At 40.3% G+C, this 20,708-nt stretch overlaps 1 protein-coding gene and 1 non-coding gene across 10 annotated transcripts in view; one reads left to right on the forward strand and one right to left on the reverse strand.

The window, feature by feature from the left end:
• PGR (progesterone receptor) overlaps positions 1–18,060 on the reverse strand; it is a 100,190-nt gene extending 82,130 nt beyond the window's left edge. For 3 of the 9 annotated variants that reach the window (NR_073142.3, NR_073143.3, NR_073141.3), the window contains exons 1-2: positions 15,681–17,324; positions 14,254–14,405 (exon numbers count right to left, since the gene is read on the reverse strand). Coding sequence is in view for 6 of the 9 variants with exons in the window: in XM_011542869.3 (XP_011541171.1) it covers positions 8,519–8,565; positions 14,254–14,405; positions 15,681–17,317 (1,836 nt within the window). In the remaining 3 variants the exon portion in view is untranslated. Of the gene's footprint in view, positions 1–3,994; positions 8,566–14,253; positions 14,406–15,680 lie in introns of those variants that run through there. The other 6 variants (NM_000926.4, XM_006718858.4, NM_001271161.2 and 3 more) reach the window with 4 other exon arrangements.
• PGR-AS1 (PGR antisense RNA 1) overlaps positions 17,324–20,708 on the forward strand; it is a 30,194-nt gene continuing 26,809 nt past the window's right edge. Inside the window, exons 1-2 of the transcript NR_073144.1 lie at positions 17,324–18,135; positions 18,936–19,029. This is a non-coding gene — a non-coding RNA (PGR antisense RNA 1). The remainder of the gene's footprint in view (positions 18,136–18,935; positions 19,030–20,708) is intronic.

Below are 20,708 nucleotides of genomic sequence, written 5' to 3' on the forward strand. Positions count from 1 at the left end.
ATATTCAGTCTGGAGTTCAGGGGAAAGGTCTGGGCTGGAGATAGAAATTTGGAAGTGATTGGATTTTGGGTGGTTTATCCACAGTTTGGAGACTGGATTAGATAACCAAGGAAGTAAGTATATAAACAGAAGGGAAGAGGACCAAATACTCAGAATACTCAGCACTGGACCCTCTCATATTAAAAGCTAAAGGAGAAGAACAGTTTGAAGGGGAGCTAGTGAGGAAAATCAAGAGAGGGTCGTGTCTTGAAAACCAAGCGAATAAAGTATTTGCAGGAAGGTGGAGTGATCAATTGTCAAATGCTACCAATGAGTCAAGTAACATGGGACTGACAATTGCCCATAAGATTTAGTAACATGGTAACCTTGACAAGAGAAGTTTTGGTGGAGTGACAGAGGTCAACAACTGATTGGGTTAGGTTTAAGAGTGAATGGGAGAAGAAAATGTGTTAGAAGAGTTTTGCTGTAAAAGAAGAAAAATGATTGGTGGCTGAAGAGTAAGTGAAATCAACAAAAGTAGTTTGTTTATATTTTAAGATGAGAAAAGGAAGAGCATGTTGTAGGCTGACAGGAATTATCCAGTAGAGAAGGGGAAAAATGATTTAAATGTTGCGGGAGGATTGGTAGAGCCTGTCCTTGAGTCAGCAGGAGTAATCTGGATCTAGTGGTCAAGGAGAGAGGGCTGGACTTGAGAACTGCAGAGCTCTGGTAACCCCAGAAAAATGGGATTATAGTTCAGAGGCCACTTCTGTCCATACAGATGGTGGTAGCAATTTCAGAAAGTTTTTTTCCGAAAATTAGGAAGCAAGGCTGTTAGCTGAAAGTGAGGACAGGGGAGTGCTGGCAGGCTGAGAAGAGAAGGTGGAAGACAGCCATCCCAGAAGCCATGGAGAATGAGGGGACTGTCTGCAGGGCAGATTATCTAGTCATAATATTCACTTTCAATTCCACATACCAGTTATGAAAAGCTTCTTTTACCCCAGAAATTCAGCTAGCAAGTATCTACTCTCCCTGATGTCAATCAATTTTCATTACAAATACTTAGGACAAAGAGACACTAGATAATGAATAAGAGGTAATATTAACAAATAAGAGAGAAGGTTCTGTGGGTTCCAATCTCAGCTCTACCATTTTATTTACTATTTATCTGTGCAAGTGATTTAAAATCTTTGTGTTTAATATAACACATTTAGCCAAGTTCCTGACATATGTGTTCAATAAATGCCACTATTATGAAATGTGTTCAGAACCTAACTGAATTTTTTTGGAAGATTTTTTAGCAAGTTAGAAAATCTTATTTCAAAATGTTTATGTATGAAACTATAAAATTTTGATCTCTTATAATACCTTCACAACAAAATCAAATAACAGTGGAATCATCCCCAAAGACTTGTTTTCAAAATGCTATCTACAAAACAACAGTGTCTTTCAAACAGAAGTTACCTCCTTTTTTCTATCATGAACATTATCTTTAACTTGAAGGGGCAGATTAACTGTACCTTCTGCTAAATATCTTCTTTTTTTTTTTCCCAGAGTCTTGCTCTGTCACCCAGGCTGGAGTGCAGTGGTGTGATCTCCACTCACTGTAAGCTCCACCTCCTAGGTTCATGCCATTCTCCTGCCTCAGCCTCCTGAGTAGCTGGGACTACAGGCACCCACCACCATGCCTGGCTATTTTTTTTTTTTGTATTTTTAGTAGAGACGGGGTTTCTTTCACCGTGTTAGCCAGGATGGTCACGATCTCCTGACCTCGTGATCTGCCCACCTCGGCCTTCCAGAGTGCTGGGATTACAGGCGTGAGCCATTGCACCCGGCCTATATATCTTCTAAGTATCATACTACTGAGACACTTGTCATCATAGGAAAGGTCAGCAATCTGAAATGCATATCCTTTTATAAAGGAAAATGTAAACAGCAAAAATTTACTTAAGGGTTGGGAGGTAGCTGGAGGTAATTAAAACATGAGATAGTAAACAATTCCAAGTTTGCTATCAGGCACTACCAGCCTAGGGATTTATGGATTGTTGCCTGCAATAGGGAAATTCTCACAGGCATCTACTCTCCTTGAGCCCTTGCTTCCTACTCAGTTGTTAGGCCCTTTCTATTTCCTACTCCTTGCCCCAGCTGCTAGCCTACAATTCCCTAATTTCTATTAAAATAGTACATAGAGAGGTTCAGTTCTTCATACTTTCATCCGCCCCCCCATCCAAAGTGGCCTCTGGATGGGCCTTTGCACAAAGAAACACTCACTGAAGTGCTCTGCTTAAAGAAGATAAACCATTGTGGTCTCCACTGTTAATTACAAAAAAGTTGCCACAAACTTTGAAATTACAATAATTTTTAAGATTTAATATTTTTAGTCTAATACTTAGTCAGGATTCAGACTTTCTCCTTCCATACCCCGCATTTAAACACCAGGGTTAGATCTTCCTGTCCTATACTTCCACAATTCTCAGCTCACACCTCTCATAGATATTACCAGACTGCATTTCTGCAACGTGTTTATGTGCCTTTCTCCTAAGTTATGAACTTGGCTCATCCATTTTTGAGTCTCAATATTTAACACAAATCCAGGCACAAAACGGCATTATTTTTGGTATAAATTAATAAATAAGCAGACGACTAAATGAAGTGACAAACCAGAACATCTCAATTCTCATAAGTTATTTTGTGCACAAAAATTATATTATTTCAATATCCTGCTGAGGACATTATGTAGAATATAATACAAACAATTTGAAATTAAACTACTTCTCAGAATCTGTGTTACCAGTTTCCTAGCTGTTCTCTCTGACTTCAAGCTATCTAATCTCTGTACAAATATATTCTGCATGGTGCTTTTAGGATAATCCTTCCTAAATACTACTTTCAACATCACTCCTTTACTGAGTAAAATGATCATGTACTTCCTATTTCTGAAGGTGACGTCCCCCACCCCCACAATTCTCTGTGTCGCTTTCATCACCCTTCTCAATTGGTTCCAATCTACCCATTGAACCCATTCCTCTCTCCACAACCCTGGCTCAGGTCCTTAGTGCACCATCCCCAGACTGTTTTCCTTGTCCCTTACCTTTCTGACATTAATCTTTCCAATATACTGCTGATATACTAATTTTCTTAAATATTAAAATATGCCACTACACTGCCCAAAAAATATTTAGGGGCTTCTCACTCTTTACTCAATTAATTGTAAACACCCCATTGTGCATTCCACATTTTCTTGACCTTCTGTTTTATAATAATCCTCACCATTCCTTTAAAGCAGTGGTAAGCTAACTTTTTTGGGGGTGGGAATAAGGGGTCACTGATCTCTTTCAAAACCTCATGAAAAGAATTATCCTAGAAAAAACACAAATAATTTATATATAATCGTAAGGGATTCTGACCATGTTCCATGCTTTAGCCAAATTGTCCTTCTGCTCAGTCTGTAGTTTTTGTTTACAAAAGCCATTACAATTCTTGCTATCAAAAATTTCATGCATTCTCAGCAGCCCATCTAGCATGCTATCCTTTCCATAAAAACACATTTTGGTCTCCCTAGCTAAATATGATCTTTTTCCCCTTGAAATCAAAAACACATTTGATTTATATATTACCTATATTATACTTGAATATGGGATAAACTCCATGATTGAACGAAAACTATATGAAGTTAGGTAATATGGCTTATTTATCTTTTATAGCTCCCTGTAGAACCCAGCATGGTACTAAGAATTTATTAAAAATGATAAGAATAGGCTGGGCGCTGTTGCTCACGCCTGTAATCCCAGCACTTTGGGATGCCAAGGTGGGAGGATCACTTCAGGTCAGGAGTTCAAGAGCAACCTGGCCAACATGGTGAAACCCCATCTCTACTAAAACTACAAAAATTAGTGTGTGTGGTGGTACATGCCTGTAATCCCAGCTACTCGGGAGGCTGAGGCAGGAGAATCGCTTGAACCCAGGAGGCAGAGTGCAGTGAGCTGAGATTGTGCCACTGCACTTCAGCCTGGGCTACAGAGCGGGGACTCCCTCTCAAAAAAAAAAGATAAGAATAAATGATAAGAATTGTTTATAAAAATTTTCAGGGCTGCTACATTGCAAAAAGCCAGCAGGCACCACTCTCAACATAGTCTATAAATCATTTCTGAGTACATGTCCAAAATCTCTTAGCTGAAATGTATTGGGCCAATTGTGTTTCAAAATTCAAAATTGTTTGTATTTTAGAAAGATAAAATAGAGCAACACTTAATAAAACATTATATTTATGCAGCAAAATGTACGAATATTTACATAGACTACAAGATTTCCTCATGTGATTTCAGATCAGATTTTGCTGCCAAACAAATTCACGTCAGGTTAGGTATTGTTGACAAGTGACTACAACAAAATTTTTGTTTGCAGTGCTTTTTGAATATTGAGATTGTGTGTGAGGAATTGTGGGCCTGTGTCCATTCTTGGCTCCATCTAGTCAGGAAGGATTCCTTAATTCATGATACAGAGTAACCTCAAGCTTTTGCTTCAATATTCTTCAAGTTTCATTCTTTGTTAGTCTCTTTCAACATTCTAGGGTACCTGAAGGTGAAAAGTGGCACATATGGTCACTGGACACCATTAGGGCAGCAGAGGCTAGCTGAGACTAGGCGGGGCCAGTGTGGAGGAAAGTCAGGCACCAAGTTGGTGTGTAATTGCAGCCCCTTCAGTAAATACTTGCTTAAAGAATGAAGCTGGGTGCAGTGGCTCATGCCTGTAATCCCAACACTTTGGGAGGCCAAGGCGGGAGGATCACCTGAGGTCAGGAGTTCGAGACCAATCTGGTCAACACGGTGAAACCCTGTCTCTACTAAAAATAAAAAAATTAGCTGGGCATGGTGGTGGGCACCTGTAATCCCAGCTATTCGGGAGGCTGAGGCAGGAGAATCACTTGAACCAGGGAGGCACAGGTTGCAGTGAGCTGAGGTCAAACCACTGCACTCCAGGCTGGGTGACAGAGCTAGATTCCACCTCAAAAAAAAAAAAAAAAAAAAAAAGACCAAAACATGTCATCAGAAATTGGAAGTCTCTCATCCTGACAGTAAGCACTTAGTTATTTTCTTTTAGATAGCTCTCTATACCTAGCAAGATCAAATGGGTACAATTTTTTACCCAGAATGATATTGTTCCTTGCTTTTTCATAAAATCAAATATTTTAGAGACTTCTTGACATCTGTAGTATAGACAGCTAACTCACTCTTTTCATTGCAAGGGTATACCACAATTTGCTAATCTCTTTTTAACAGACATTTGGGCTGTATTCAGTTTCTCAGTATTATAAATAATGTAATACTGCAATAAACATCCACCTACAGGTATTCTAGAGTTCTGTAAGGATGAGTTTCTAGAAGTAGAATTGTTGGGCCAAAGTAACGCATATTTTAATTGACAATACCAAACTATCTTCAGATTCTCCAATGGTCATTATTTGTTATTCATTATTATTCCAGTACTCAAATTGCTGAAATTCCCATTATTATTTTAATCAGTAATGCTTATTAGTGAGTTGAGCCTTCTTCATACTTCTGTGGGCTGTACTTTGTGAACTGTCTTAATATTTTTTGTTCATTTTTCTTCCTGTTTGTCTTTTTCTTGATTTGTAAGAATATTTTGTATATGGGTAATAATTTCCTTTTGATTTACATATATGTTACAGTTTCCTAATTTGTTGTTGTCTTTGACTTTATGAATTTTTTGCCTTATATAAGAAATTTGAGATTACATAGCAAATGGAGCAAATTTGTTTTTGAATTCTGGATTTTATATCAAATTTAGAAAGTTTTCCATCCCAAGACTATAAATACATACCTCCATCATCTTTCCATACTTTTAGGTTTCTTTTCTTCAAATAAAAAAAAAATTAAGTTGTTGACCCACCTGAAATTTTTCTTGTGTATAATACGCCAGGAGTCACAATATTATTATATTAAAAAAACTATCAAAAATAAACGTTTCTTAATTACTGTCTCTGTTTTTAAAGGCTTTGAATAAATCTTACTAGCTCAATAAACTACCTTTTCTAACTACTGCAGACACATCTCTGCCAGTACTACTATTAATTGGGGTAAGTTAACTAACTTCTGAGTCTTTGCTTACATATGAAGTGGAAATGGTAAATTCTACTTTTTAGGATTGTTGTGAAGAATAGAAATATTAAATATAAAGCATTTAGCATGGTTTCTATTATATATAGGCAATCAGTAATGACAACTCTTGGTACTTTCCTCTCTAGTTCACTTATAGCACCCTAAGTCTGCAACACACAATTTAATCAAACACTAAATTTGCAGTGTTGTCTGTTAATCACTCACTTCCACACACACACTGCAGGCTCCTTGAAATCAAAGACTGTATCTTTTCCTGCAAAGGAATATCCAGTGGAAGTTAAGGGCATTGACTCCAGGAGTGGAGTTCTGCTCTACTGTTGACTAACTGAACAAATCTTATCTGTAAAATGAGAAAAATAGAACCTGTCTCATAGGTTTGTTGCAAGAGTTAAATGAGTTAGTAAACAAAGAGACATTAGAAGAGTACCTGAATTTAGTAAACACTCAATAAATGATAACCATTATTTTTACCCTTTAATTTTTATATTTCGTACAAATGCTACAGCACTGTTTTGAGCTCACGGTCCATACTCACTACATGTGTATTCTATCTCATAAATAAATCACTTGGTTATAGAAGAGTAAATAGCATGAAAAGTATTTGCATTTTTTTCCTAAAGAAATAATGATTACTAGTAAATACTATGCTTTAAGAAAAAAGTTATGATTCCTTAAAATGTCATATAAAGTACACAACACAAGACGCTGTAGTAGCAGTTAAAAATAAAGCTCAAAACCTGTTAATTTTTTAAAATTGAGCATTAAAATGTACTTGTTTTGCAGGAGTTAAAATAAAAAGGAAAACCCAATAGGCTATTTACATATCACTTATTAAAAAGCATAATATCTCATCAGAGGAGAAAAAAATGTCTTGATGATAGATTATATGAAGTATGCATTATATAGTTAATTATATGAGGGCCATCTAGCCACAAGAAGGATATTGTGTTCATCGGCCTCTCCTCAAATTAGGTAGATAGGGAAGATATACAGAGTATGTGACTTTCTGATGTTCTTAAATGACAATGGAGTTTAAAAACCAAGATGTAAACCAGCAGTCCTCAACCTTTTTGGTATCAGGGACCAGTTTTGTGGAATACAATTTTTCCATGGATGGTGTGGGATGGTTTCTGGATGAAATTGTTCTACCACAGATCATCAGGTATTAGATTCTCATAAGAAGTGCGCAACCTAGATCCCTTGCATGCAGAATTCACAATAGGGTTCTCACTCTTATGAGAATCTAAGGCTGCTGCTGATGTGACAGGGAGGCGGAGCTCAGTCTGTAATTCTCGCTTGGCCACTGCTCACCTCCTGCTTTGTGGCCCACTTCCTAACAGGCCATGGGCCCGCACCGGACCATGGACTGGCTGTGGTACCAGTCCACATCCTAGGGGTTGGAAATCCCTTGTGTAAATGATTAGTGTGCCTATTTTTGAGTGTCTGTCTTAAGTGTCAATTATTTCAATCAATCCTTTAAAGAAGTGACTGATAAAAGATTCCCTGGAGTTACTTTGTTTTTTTTCTGACAAAAGCAAAAGCTCTATAACTCAGATGTGATTTTCGGCTAATAATGTGGCCATGCTGTTAGAAGAGTGAGCAGTTGGACTTTAAATCTTGATCACAAATGGTCATCTCGTCTTTGCACAAATGCCAAAAAGATACCAGCAAATAGAGCCAAAAAACTTCTTAGGAGTCACTCGAATAAATACTTGATTGAGATCTAAGGGTTTCCTGTTATAAAGGAGTGCTTTTTAAAAAAAGGTTGGCTGAGAATCCTTTGTCCCAATAAAAATCTCAAGTGGAAATATAAACCAAATAAAGAAATACAGAGCTGTTCTGAATAGAAGAAGGAACTTGACTGAGTTAAGGAGCACAATTTGAAAACCAGTCTCCTATAAGAGACCATGTATTTATCTGAAAAAGTATAAAGTAATTAATATTTGCTCAAATACAAAACAGTCTAGGAAAACAGCACAGAAGCAGGAATTTAAGATACAGAAGTTAGAGTCAGACCTCCTGAATAGTAGAAACCTCTCTTTACACCCATCTGTAAAATATAGATACTAACAGAACCTCCACCTCAAAGGACTCTTACAAGGATTAATTGAGCTAATCCAGTGAAGCAGTTAAAACAGTGCCTGGGTTATAGTGAAGGCGACTTAAGTGACTATTAAATGAATAAGCCTCTTGCACAACATCAAGATATGTTAGCAGAATAAACTGCCATTCTTCTCCATGTGTCTAACTGAATACTACGGTGTGTTGGCCACGGCTCTGGCATAACTTGTATCAAGGTATTCTCATGTTCACTAGTTGTACCACAGGTTTGTTCTGTTTTGTTTTCTTCTTCTTGGTTTTGTGCATGTCAAAGACAGGGTCTGCATACATTTTCATCTTCAGTCCCAGCACAAGCAACTTTTAAATGTAGGATCAATACATGTATCTGAAGTGAATAAATTAGTGAATCAAATCATCTTAGCAGCAGGTAGAAAGCTAATCATCTAGTTCATTTAGAACTGTATCAAAATACTTCAATATATTCTGGAAAGAGAAGCAAGACATGTACCAAAGGAGAAATGTACAAAAAGGGTTTACTCAAGTAATAGTGTAATTAGTAATTCCTAAATATAATGATTTTTCATATTATGAAATATTAAGCAGTGGTTAAAAAAACAAGTTGGAACTACATATATGAACAATAGAGCTTCAAGTCATTTTTGTATCAAAATAACATGATGCATAAATTATGATATATAATACCATTTATATATTAACATACCCCAGAGAACATATTCCACACACACATACACATGGGAAAAACTGAGGTAGAGGTATAGAAAGATGGTAGGCAAGGGAACAGATTAGAGGTATTGATCAAGAGGACTTAAGCCTTATTGATAACATTTTCATTTTTTAAAGGAGATGGATTTTTGTGTTACTTGAGTAATTAAAGTACAATGATTCAGTGGCCAGAACAGGAGCAGTTATTAGCACTAGCACGCATGGCTAATACCACTGCTTCTCCTCTGGCTCTTGTAGTGGTATTAAAGTACATGTTCTGAAAGAGTATTAAAAATCTGGGAGCTCTAAATAACCAAATATGAACAGATGACACCAAATGCTATCTTTTTAACCATTTCTTTTTCAGTACAGTAGAGATTTCAATGAACCCTAATGTAAAGTGGTGCTTAAAACCAGTCTATCATTATCCATGCTAAATAGTAAACTGAGAGACCTCAGCTTGAAAAGAAATTGGATATAGAGTTTTGAAATAAAATCTAGTGAATTACTACATATTTATTTTTAGGGTAATGTGAAAGCTGCTATAGAGCAGACTCTATTGGAGATTAAATGAATATAAATAAGATTATTGGCAAAATATCTTCTCAGAGCCCAAATATTATTCAAATTCAAATAGATTATAGTAGAAGAGATTGCTGGATGATCTGTGCACTACAAAAGATGGAGAAAGCATTACAGAGCTCTAAATATAGAACAAATAAATCACAGAAGTTGCTGATGAAAAATTGGATGTTCAATCTTTCTCTTTCTGATGCTGTATCAAGGAGAACTATGCTACCAAACCAGTTTTCATTACTAGCCTATGACACCAAGTATACCCAACTTTTGAAAGAAACACTTTATTCATAAAAGTATTTCATTTCTGTCTAGTTTCCTCTGCAGTCTATTTATTGTGATGTCTAGGTCTGAAAAACTTTCCCCATTATCTGACAGAGGGGTCAATTCTCTAGTTGTCCAAACATTGCATAAACGAATCACTTACCACATGTGCAATTAGTCATGTGTACACAAATAGGTAAAATGTCTCTCTCCACCACCACACTATAAACTTTAGTCAACAGCCAGCAAGGTCTCTCGTTTTACTGTGGTTTCACCAGTACCTAACATAGTGCCTGGCGCATGGCAGGTACTCAATAAATACATGAACTAATGTAATTAAGGTAATTACTTCATGAACAATTAATATATGAATAAAAGAATGAGGACAGGCCAGGTGTGGTGGCTCACGCCTGTAATCCCAGCACTTTGGGAGGCCGAGGCAGGCGGATCATGAGGTTAGGAGATTGAGACCATGGTGAAACCCCATCTCTACTAAAAAATACAAAAAATTAGCCAGGCGTGGTGGGGGGCACCCGTAGTCCCAGCTACTCGGGAGGCTAAGGCAGGAGAATGGCATGAACCCGGGAGGCGGAGCTTGCAGTGAGCCGAGATCACACCACTGCACTCCAGCATGGGCAACAGCGAGACTCCGTCTCAAAAAAAAAAAAAAAAAAGTGAGCATAATATGCAATACAATTGAAAATCCTTCAATACCTACTTAGCTTAGTGTCTTCTAAGTAATACATTTCAATTGTATTATAACATGTGTTTAATGATATTACACCAAATGTATTCACAACAAATGCTGTCACTGAGTAAAGCATCCAAAAAATAAAAGTGTGGCGTTATCAGTTATGATGACTGGATCATGTAGCAGTTATCTACTGGATGCCTAGTATATTCCTAGCACTGGGCTGGTTACTGTGTACTGGCAAAGATAAGCCATTGAGAAATAGTCCTTTCCTTCATCATACCAGGTTAGTAGTCTGCATTTGTAGGACTGGCAGGTCATGATTACTTCCTCTCTTTGGAAGGCATTAAGTCAATTCCTGGTCCTTTCATGGTTCACTCCAAACCTACAAGTCTTGGTAAAGGAATGCAATGGGCTATCCAACCAACTGGTTTTTGGCCAATACTATATCCTAAACAGTTCAATTAGCTTAAAAGAAATCATTTTTCCCAACTCCTTTCTCCCATTTCCTGAGTGGTATCTTATTTCTTTATCTCTTCTCTCTTCTGTCTCATATCCAGGGAAACCCAGTCATCCAGAATGACTTTATAGGCTTTATCACCTCCCTCTCCTAACATGGGAGGGAGGTGAAGAAACTGGCTGTTGGCTCCTGCTTATGTCTTCTTATTGCTGCCCTAAATGTGAAGTTAATATGATCCATCCTTTTATATCACACACTTCTCATTACCCCTGCTCTTGCATTCTCCTTTAGGATTCACTTTTACCTTCCTAGATGTTTCATCACTTGGCTCACATCTTTTCTTCTAACCCTCTATTGTTTTTCTTTGACTGCATTTCCTATTATGAGAAAGGAAGCACAGTGGTCAAGGGCCGGGATTCTGGATTCATACCACCTGGATTTGAATCCTGACTTTACCATTTCCTAAGCGTATTAAGACAGCTTAACATCTACAGGTCTTAGTTTCCTCATTTGTAAAGTGGGAGTAATAATAATAATACCAACATTATAACAACTAAATAAGTTAAGACCTGCAAAGCACTGAAATAGTCACTGGCACAGAGAAAGCATTTTATAATGCCATCATTTTCATTCTCATCCTTGGCAACATTAGTATCCATATTGTTGCCTGTTTACTTTAAACTTCTGGCCATATTGGCATCCACACACAGCGCCACCTTGAACCAGCTCATCACGCAGCATTGCTTTATTGAAGATTTTGAACCTGATATAAGTCCTTCTACTTATCTTTCTCATTCCTGAAAACTCCTAGAACATTCTCTATATTCTCTTGCCTTAAATTACCGATTCTCCAAATTCACCCAAACACTAGCAATCTAGTTTCTCAAACTTTAACTCTCTCAATTTCCTAATGTGAACATTCAATGCTTAGTCAGTGTAATCTTAATTTCTTCACTCTTCTTTGACTGTATACACTTAAAGCTCTCCTCAATGCCTAGAAAGCTTATTTGTCCTTTACTAATCAAATGTTCATATCTTCCATGTAGACTTCTTCATCATTCAAGAATATACATATTTCAACCCATAACCACCTCGCTCTGTCCAAATACAAAAACTCACAAACCACACAGATCTCATATACATTACAGAATTGCTTACTTGGGCATTTACTGAGAATCTTTATTTAGATGTTTTATGTGCATATGTTACCTCCCTAACTATATTACAAGTTCCTTGAAAGTAGAAATGTCAATGGAAACTGATAATATGTCAGGCCTTCTTTTACATACTTTACAAGTATCAGCTCATTTAATCTTTATAGCAACCCTAAGAAATAGCCACTGTTATCCTCATTTTATCTCAAGGCAGAGAAAAGTGAAGTCAGGGAAAGTGTATCTTTGGCATAAATTGCTGAATGAAGGAACTTACTAATGTAGTTCATAATCTTGTTCTAGTTTCATGAATGATTTATCTGCATCAATCTTAAGTAACTCTTTGTAATTACTGCTAAATAAAGGTGCTTCACTTCTAGTACTCAAGACTATAGGACCATGCCAACAGCCGGAGTCCAACAAATGCTTTCTAAGAGTACATTTGGAAAGACTTCGTCTACAGTTTTGGATGCTATTCTAACAAAATGACGAGAAAGCATTTGTATTTTAGTTAGGGTGCTCTTTGTTCTATATATGCACTTTATGAAATAACTTCTGTGAATCAAACAGTTTATATATCTACTTTTGCATATCATCTCTGATTTACAAGCGCTGCAATGTAAAAATATTTAACCTATGTTTACTAACAATCAGCTACTAACTAGTTTTGTGACCTTTGGAAACTCATATTTATGTCTTTGAGATTTGCTTATCTTTCAAAAGAAGGAGCTGGGGTAGGACAAATTGGGCTTAAGAGGATTCTAAGGGAGTCATTCACTTATAAAATTATACTATCCTTAGGAGACTTTAAGAAGAGAGGAAATCATATTAATGCAGAAGGCAATGTTTAAGAAACCAGAACCAAAGTCAGATAAAAATGGTAACTCCAATTACCCATTGGAAAACTGACTTTTCCACACAAAGAACTTCCAACTGTAACTGTAAATAAATAATGTCAATGGGTAAGAGCCACTATCAGTTGCCCTATTTTCTCAAGTACCACTTTTAACACTGCCTCAATTAGTTTAAAATGCAATCAAACCCCCTAAAGCTGAATATGTTCAACATCAGTAAAATACATTCATCTTTTGTGAGAAAAAATCATGTTCTAAAAATATACAAAGCAAATATTTGTTATGAAGAACTCCTTTGAAAGCTCCCTTAAAGTGAAATTTCCTACTACCTGCTTTTCTGCTTGTAAGGAGAGGGCTGTTGAAACAAACAAACAAACAAAAATCCTCAGAACAGGAAACAAAAAGCCAACATTCAGATCCTTGGTTCCTTGTCTAGGTGTGATCTCAGCACTCCAGAGGGAATCCTAAGCTTCATTTTACATAGTTATAGAATACATTTATTGCTGGTATTAAAATATGAAATCTTTCAATGTATTTTTATCTTCAAATGTAAAGATGTTTGGCTGCTTAGACTTTAGGTAGAAAGAAATTCAAAAATATTTTCTTTGAAAGTTAAAATCTGAAACACTATGCAAGTAAATCTGAAATCATTAAGCATGTAAGTTCAATGAGTTTAAAAACATGAAAGTTTTACTTAAAGCAAAATACTTCTTTAGAAATTATGTTACTGTGATGTCCAGGTTTTTTATTTTAAACTGTTTAATCCTGTCCTCTTATACACTTACAAAAATATACTGAACAAAAAGAGAATTCAAAAATTTGTTTAGAATTACTTCTTTGTAAATATTACATAAATATTCATGTAGTCAAAAGACAGTATCATGTAGAAAACTGCATCATATACATGTTGTGATATATGTTCGTGTATGTACAAATATGTATACGCATACATGTACATATGTGTCAACTACCATTTTTCTTTTAATCAAAATTTTAAAGTACTGCATACACATATACCTACATAATAGATATATAAAAGTACTATTAGAACAAAGCTGTTTCCTCAAAGCTAAGCAGTTAAGGAACAATAGTAGCACTGTCCTCAAGATTTTTATGACTTATGTCTAATACTGAAAGTGTTAGTCAAAGAGTATGCAATTATAGTACCCAACCACATTCCATTTTGAGTATCATAAATAAAAACATATTGTTAAAATGTCATCATATATTTTAAATTATATGGAAATATCACCATTTCTTATAAGAAACAAGGAATAATTGAAATCTATACAATATTAGATGGTCTCCATTTACAATTAAACCAATAATAAAGGATCAGGGGAAAGGAGCCTACCTTCCATTGCCCTCTTAAAGAAGACCTTACAGCTCCCACAGGTAAGGACACCATAATGACAGCCTGATGCTTCATCCCCACAGATTAAACAAATCTTCTGAGGTAATGACTCGAAGCTGTATTGTGGGCTCTGGCTGGCTTCTGAATCCGGCCTTGAAATGCAAAACAAAGTACTCCATTTATTTTTAAGTGCACCACTATCTAATACTAAAGGTTTCTTAAACCAGTATTAACAGGGTGAAAGGAGATTTTAAAAACAGAACTGTATATATACACTTGAAAGACATGCAAACTAAACTTGGTAATAGACTATCCGTAACTGGATTCACCATACTTGCAAATGATTAGCCATTCATCAGTAGCACCAATATAAAAGAACAATAATTAGTGTATAATATTATGTCCTAGAAAGTTAAAGTCGGTTAAAAGGAAATCTTTCTACAAAACTCTTTATATAGAAACAATTTAGTCTTTGACAAATGAAATGTTATGTCCTTCCTGTCTGTATGCTGGGTCAAAACAAATATGGTTTGGCTTTAAAAGTTCGATGGTACTTTGCAATGTTTTGGTTTTGAGTTTTTAAAACACAACCCTGTAATCATTGCTTACTTAAGCAAGTATATGTTTGTCATTTTAAAGTATTGTCCAATACACTGACACTGTTTTGCCTATTCACAACATAAGATTCCAAACAGAGCATTCTTTTTTTACATTCCATTACTTCAGTATGCAAAGTAGTGTTTTTTAAACCTGTATATAAAAAAAATTGTAGTGAATAGCAAGCAATAATAAGAAAACGGTGCAATGCAGTGACAGGCGTTTAAATCCACAGTTTAAACATTTCCCACGTGAACTTAATTTTAATCTTGAGATTCTTAAGAAAACTGAGCCACTGAAGTGTTCAAATCCCTAAGATGGTGCTGCTTTCGGTTCTGGCCGGCCACCTCTCAAGTCCCACCCCTCCCGGGGGAACGGTGCCTTAACTCCTCTCCAAGACAAGCACTCCTGGTAAACGTCCTTCTTCTAAGAAAGAAGCATTTCATAAAGCCCCCAACTCGCCGCGCACTTTCTGCCCCACTGGGCTACAGCGGACCTAGTGTGACGCTGCACGTTTTAAATCGGGGTTGGTTCTGCTTCGGAATCTGGAAGATTCGGAAAGTTAAAAAACAAACAAAAAAACAGCTTTCAGGGAGGCACGCCCCAAAAATAGTATATTCTGCGCCCACCTTCGTGTCCCCAAGAGTGAGGAGAGGAGGGAAGAAGAAGGGAGGCAACTGCCCCTGTGCTGTGTCCCGCTGCCCACCCTCTCCGGCCGCCCCGGGGAGCGCAGCGGTGCGCTGGGGCTGGGGCTGAGGGTTGGCGGCCGCCGCCGCCAACGGAACCGCTACTCCCGGACGCGCTGGGCGTGCCCCGTCCCGGGCCCTCACCTCAGGTAGTTGAGATAGGGCGGGTAGACCTGCGGCAGGCCCTCCTTGAGCACGGCGGCCTGGTAGCCGAGCTGCGGGAGCCCGTTGAGGCCGAGTGCAGGGTAGAGCGCGGGGGCCGCCCCGGCGGCGGCGGCAGAGGCGGAGGTGGAGGGCAGGCCGTCCCGCGGGAGCAGGCAGCCGCTCGCGCCCGGCGCCTTGCAGGGCGGCGGCGCGAACGGGCCCTGCTGGGGCGGCGCGCCCTCCGCTTTGTACAGGATGCACTCCAGGGTCGACCCCGAGGAGGACGCAGACGAGACTGAGGCACTGGCGGGTGCGGCCGTCACCGCCGCTTCCCCGGGTCTGGATGGGGTCGCTCGCGGCGGCAGCGGGGGCGGTGGCCCCAACGGGAAATCCGGGAAGGCTGCGGGGTTGGCACCGGCCACAAGGTAGGAACGCGGGGAGCGCGCGGAGGCCTCCGCGCCTTCCTCCTCCTCCTTTATCTTTAGAGCGGGCGGCTGGAAGTCGCTATAGAGAGGGTACGCGTCGTCCTTGGGCTCGGCGTCGGGCGGGTACGCGCAGTCGGGGAAGTCGCCTACAGCGACCGGGGTGGACGAGGCACAGGGTGAACTCCGCGGCGGGGCAAAGGCGCTGGCAGCCCCGGCCCCGCCGTCGTAACTTTCGTCTTCCAGCAGCTGCCGAGTGCGGGCTGCCAATAAGGCGTGATTGAGAGGCAGGATAGGCACGTGGATGAAATCCATCACCGTGGTGGCCAGCGGGGAGCGCCCGGGCGCCATCGGCGCGTCCTGCTCCACCAGGGCGACCCTGGGCGCTGAGAAGCGGGAATCTTCCTTGGGGACCAGGGCGACGCCTCCTGCTGCCGCCCCCGGCGGGACAGCCGCGGCTCCTCCTCCAGCCGCCGCGCCACCCAGAGCCCGAGGTTTGCCCTTCAGAAGCGGACCCGCAGACTCCTCGGACTCAGAGCCATCCTCCTCCTCAACCTCCACCGCAGCGGCCTGCGGAGACGGCTTCACTGGGGCCCCGGACCAGTGAGGGCTCTCAGAGGCCGGGAGCAGCAGCTGCCGGGCTGGTGACAGGCCCCGGGGCAGCACTTTATGGGCAGCTGCCGTCCCGGAGCTGTCTCCAACCTTGCACCCGGACCGGCTCATGAGCGGGGACAACACCCGCTGGGTGGCGGGGGCAGCCGGTGGATCTTCGGGAAGTTCGGGGCCAAACAGGCACCAAGAGCTGGTGACCTCGCAGGCGGGAGGGCTGGGTTGGCTCTGCCCGGGACCTGAGGGCGCCAACAGAGTGTCCAAGACACTGTCCAGCAGTCCGCTGTCCTTTTCTGGGGGACTAGAACTGCTGCCTCCAGCACCCCTTGTAGCTTCAGCTCTGGAATATGCGCCCTCCACGTCCGACAGCGACTGCTGGTCCTGCGTCTTTTCGTCGGAGGGGTCCTGTCCCTGGCAGGGCCGAGGGAAGAGTAGCCCGTCCAGGGAGATAGGTATGGCCGAAACTTCAGGCAAGGTGTCCGAGGTCTGGCTCCCCGGGAACGGACCTGCGGCTGGGCGACACAGCAGTGGGGATCCGACCTCGGGGGAGGGCGGGCCGCCCGCCACGTGGGGAGCCCGGGGACCCTTTGCCTTCAGCTCAGTCATGACGACTGGACTCCCCTTTTCTCCTCCCCCGTCTCCAGGAGGAGGGAAAAGGGAAGGAGGAGGGGGTTTCGGGAATATAGGGGCAGAGGGAGGAGAAAGTGGGTGTTGAATGTGGCTGGACCGGAGGGATCTCCACCTCCTGGGTCGGGGGCGGGGGAGGGCGGCGCTGGTCAGCTCCTGCCCTTGGCCTCCATCCTGTCGTCAGGGGAACTGTGGCTGTCGTTTGTCCCAGCGAGCGGCAAGTGGGGAGCGCAAGAAAAAGTAGTAATTGTTAGGAGATCTCGTCTCCTAACTCGGGGAGTTCTCCAAGAGAGTTCTCCAACTTCTGTCCGAGGACTGGAGACGCAGAGTACTCACAAGTCCGGCACTTGAGTGGCTGCGGCTGCGACGGCAATTTAGTGACACGCGGCTCCTTTATCTCCCGACTTTTTCTCTGGCATCAAACTCGTGCATGCTGTGAAGCTCTCAGTCCCTCGCTGAGTTCCACTGCCCCCTCACTAAAACCCTGGGGCTAGTCGGACCTCTCGGTACAGCCCATTCCCAGGAAGGGTCGGACTTCTGCTGGCTCCGTACTGCGGGCGACAGTCATCTCCGAAGATCTCAGATCCCAGTAGTGCGGGAGCACTAGCCGCCTCGGGTTGTAGATTTCACTCAAATGACAAGTGAAGCTAGTTCTCATTGAGAATGCCACCCACACGCACAAATACAACAAGGCTTACCCCGATTAGTGACAGCTGTGGACTGGCCAGACAGCTTTCTAACAACGCCTCCTCCTCTAGGGAGGCCCCGCCCAAAGCCCCTCCCTACCCCAATTACCGGTAGGATCTGAAACTCTGGAGTTGGCATTTCCACCCGTTATTCTGAATGCTACTCTCAATAGCAGGTTCTTTGGGATGGAACCTCATAAGCATATTACGTTTTGTTTTGCAAATTAAGAATTATGCCCTATCTAATTGGAAAAATGAATAGATTCTATCAGAAGTAGAATTTTTGTCACCATTTTAAGATTTCAGTTTTGTAAAGATTTAACACAGAGGAAGACATTTGGCTACATTATCTTTTAAAATAATAAATGTATCAAGGACGATACTAAATAAGAGATTCTCTCCCTTATGAGTTCCATAAAAGTGAATGCTTTCAAGTTTCTCCTGCTGCGACCAACATGTCCTGCTCCTCTTGAGTATCCTCAGCGTGACAAAGAAATTTGGGAGTGGGAGATGGTAACACCTCTGTATCTATGATGGAAGTTTGGATGTTGTGTGCCACACTTCGATTTGTCTTAAGGAATGTGTTCCAATTTTTAGTAAATAGCACTTTAAGGAAAGTTTCCTTTAGCTCCAGCTTATACAGTGTGCTACATCATAACATCCTCAGTAGAGATGTTGAACAGTACTTTTTACCCTAAATATTCTTAGTCTGAAAAGTAATTATCTTTGAGCTTATAAAATGGATCCCCGCTAAATTCATGAAGTCAGTAGAAAAAGGGAAGAATATTGCAATATATATTTTAGATACACAGTCATAAACTGTATTTGACCCAAGACCATTGGGTATTTTAACATCATCTTAAATATACCTTGTTCAAAACAGAGTGAATGATTTGCAAATTTTCTTGTAGGACCTCAAGGTCTAGCTGTGCTAATGACTCATAGTTTATCTCAACCATGTATAAAGAATGCAGAAGACTCCAGAAGGTGGGGGAGCCACTAGAGGTAAGGAGCCTGGACCCCTCGATCATCTGGGGAGGGGCTATATGAGTGAGAAACAAACCTTTATCATGTTAGGTTACTAGGATTTGGAGTTGGTTGTTCTAGTAAATAGTTTACTCTGATTAATTTTAGATATGTGGAAGTTAGGCAGATAGAGGAAAGGTAAAGAGAATTCTGGGAAGCAGGTATAGAATGTTCACCGGGCATCAAATGGCAGGATATAATATGGCAACTGCAAGGGGACCATTATGAATAGAACAGGAGCAAGTGTGGGCACAGAAGTATATGAGACTAGAGAAGTAAACTAATTTATTAATATCATTATTGTTGTTTTCAGGCTTTCTCTTTCCAGCCTATCTTAAAACAGTTACCATGCTTTATTGAGGTGTAATTCCAGTATCATACAGCTCACTCAAAGTATCAGTTCATTGATTTTTCATGTACTCAGAGTTGTGCAACCATCAGCACTATTAATTTTGTAACATGAGTATGACTCTAAAATCTCAATACCCACTAGCAGTTATTCCACATTTCCGCCTAAATCTCCCAGCAGCCACTAATATGCTTTTTGTACCTGTGATTTGGCTATTTTGGATCAAGGTTCATCCATGTTCCACATGAATCAGTACTTCACTCCTTCACTCCTTTTTATTGACAAATAATATTTCATTGTATGGATAAACCACATTTTATTTATCCATCTCTATCAGTTGTTGGACATTTGGGTTGTTTACACCTTTTGGCTACCATGAAAAATCCTGCTAATGAACATTCATGTACAAGTTTTTGTGCAGCGTATATTTTCCTTTCTCCTGGATATATGCATAGGAGTGGAATTGCTGGTTCATATGGCAACTCTAGGTGTGGTCTTTGGAGTAACTGCCAGACTATGGTTCAAATGATTGTACTTCTTACATTTCCACCAGCAGTGAATAAGGGTCCTAGTTTCTTCACATCTTTGACAACATTTTTTATCTGTCTTTTTTGTTATAGCCCCCCAAGTGTGTGAAGTGGTATCTCACTGATTTATTTATATTTTCCTGATGGCTAATGCCACACAGTGTATAGAATTTGTAAAATCAGGACAGCATTGCCAGGTAGTCTTGTAAGCCTTTTACCTGTGTTAACTGTAATCCTTCAACAGTCTCACAAAATAGGTACTGTTATCCCAATTTCATAGTTGGGAAAACTGAGGCACAAGGTTACCCAGTATTATAAAGTTAAGTACTGTAACCCAAACCCAAGACATCAAATGACAGCCTTCTTAGGAGTGTGATTTTAAATGTCAGATGCCATATAATTTGATTTTCCGGTCGCTGCTGTAAAATTGGCACTTGGCCTCATTTTAAATCTGACAAACTATATTTGGCTTGATTTTGGTTGGTTATAATAATTCCCTTGTCAGAATGTCTGGGGAGGTTGTTTCCAAAAGATTGAAAATCTTGAAGTGGGAAAACAACAATAAAGATGTCCAGCATGTCCTAAATCACCATTATTCCATAAATTTTGATGCTGGGTGATTAGCATTTTTGGCACAGGAACTTCCCAAATGTATGAATCTTTGAATGAACAAAATTCACTGATTAAATTCAGGTGTGATGGGGCTAACTTCAAATATTCCTGAAGACTGTTTTTGGAGAAGAGGATTTAAATGTGGAAGTATTTTTTCTATAGTTTGGGGA

Source organism: Homo sapiens, chromosome 11, assembly GCF_000001405.40.
Source record: "Homo sapiens chromosome 11, GRCh38.p14 Primary Assembly".
In the NCBI taxonomy this organism is placed as follows: domain Eukaryota; kingdom Metazoa; phylum Chordata; class Mammalia; order Primates; family Hominidae; genus Homo; species Homo sapiens.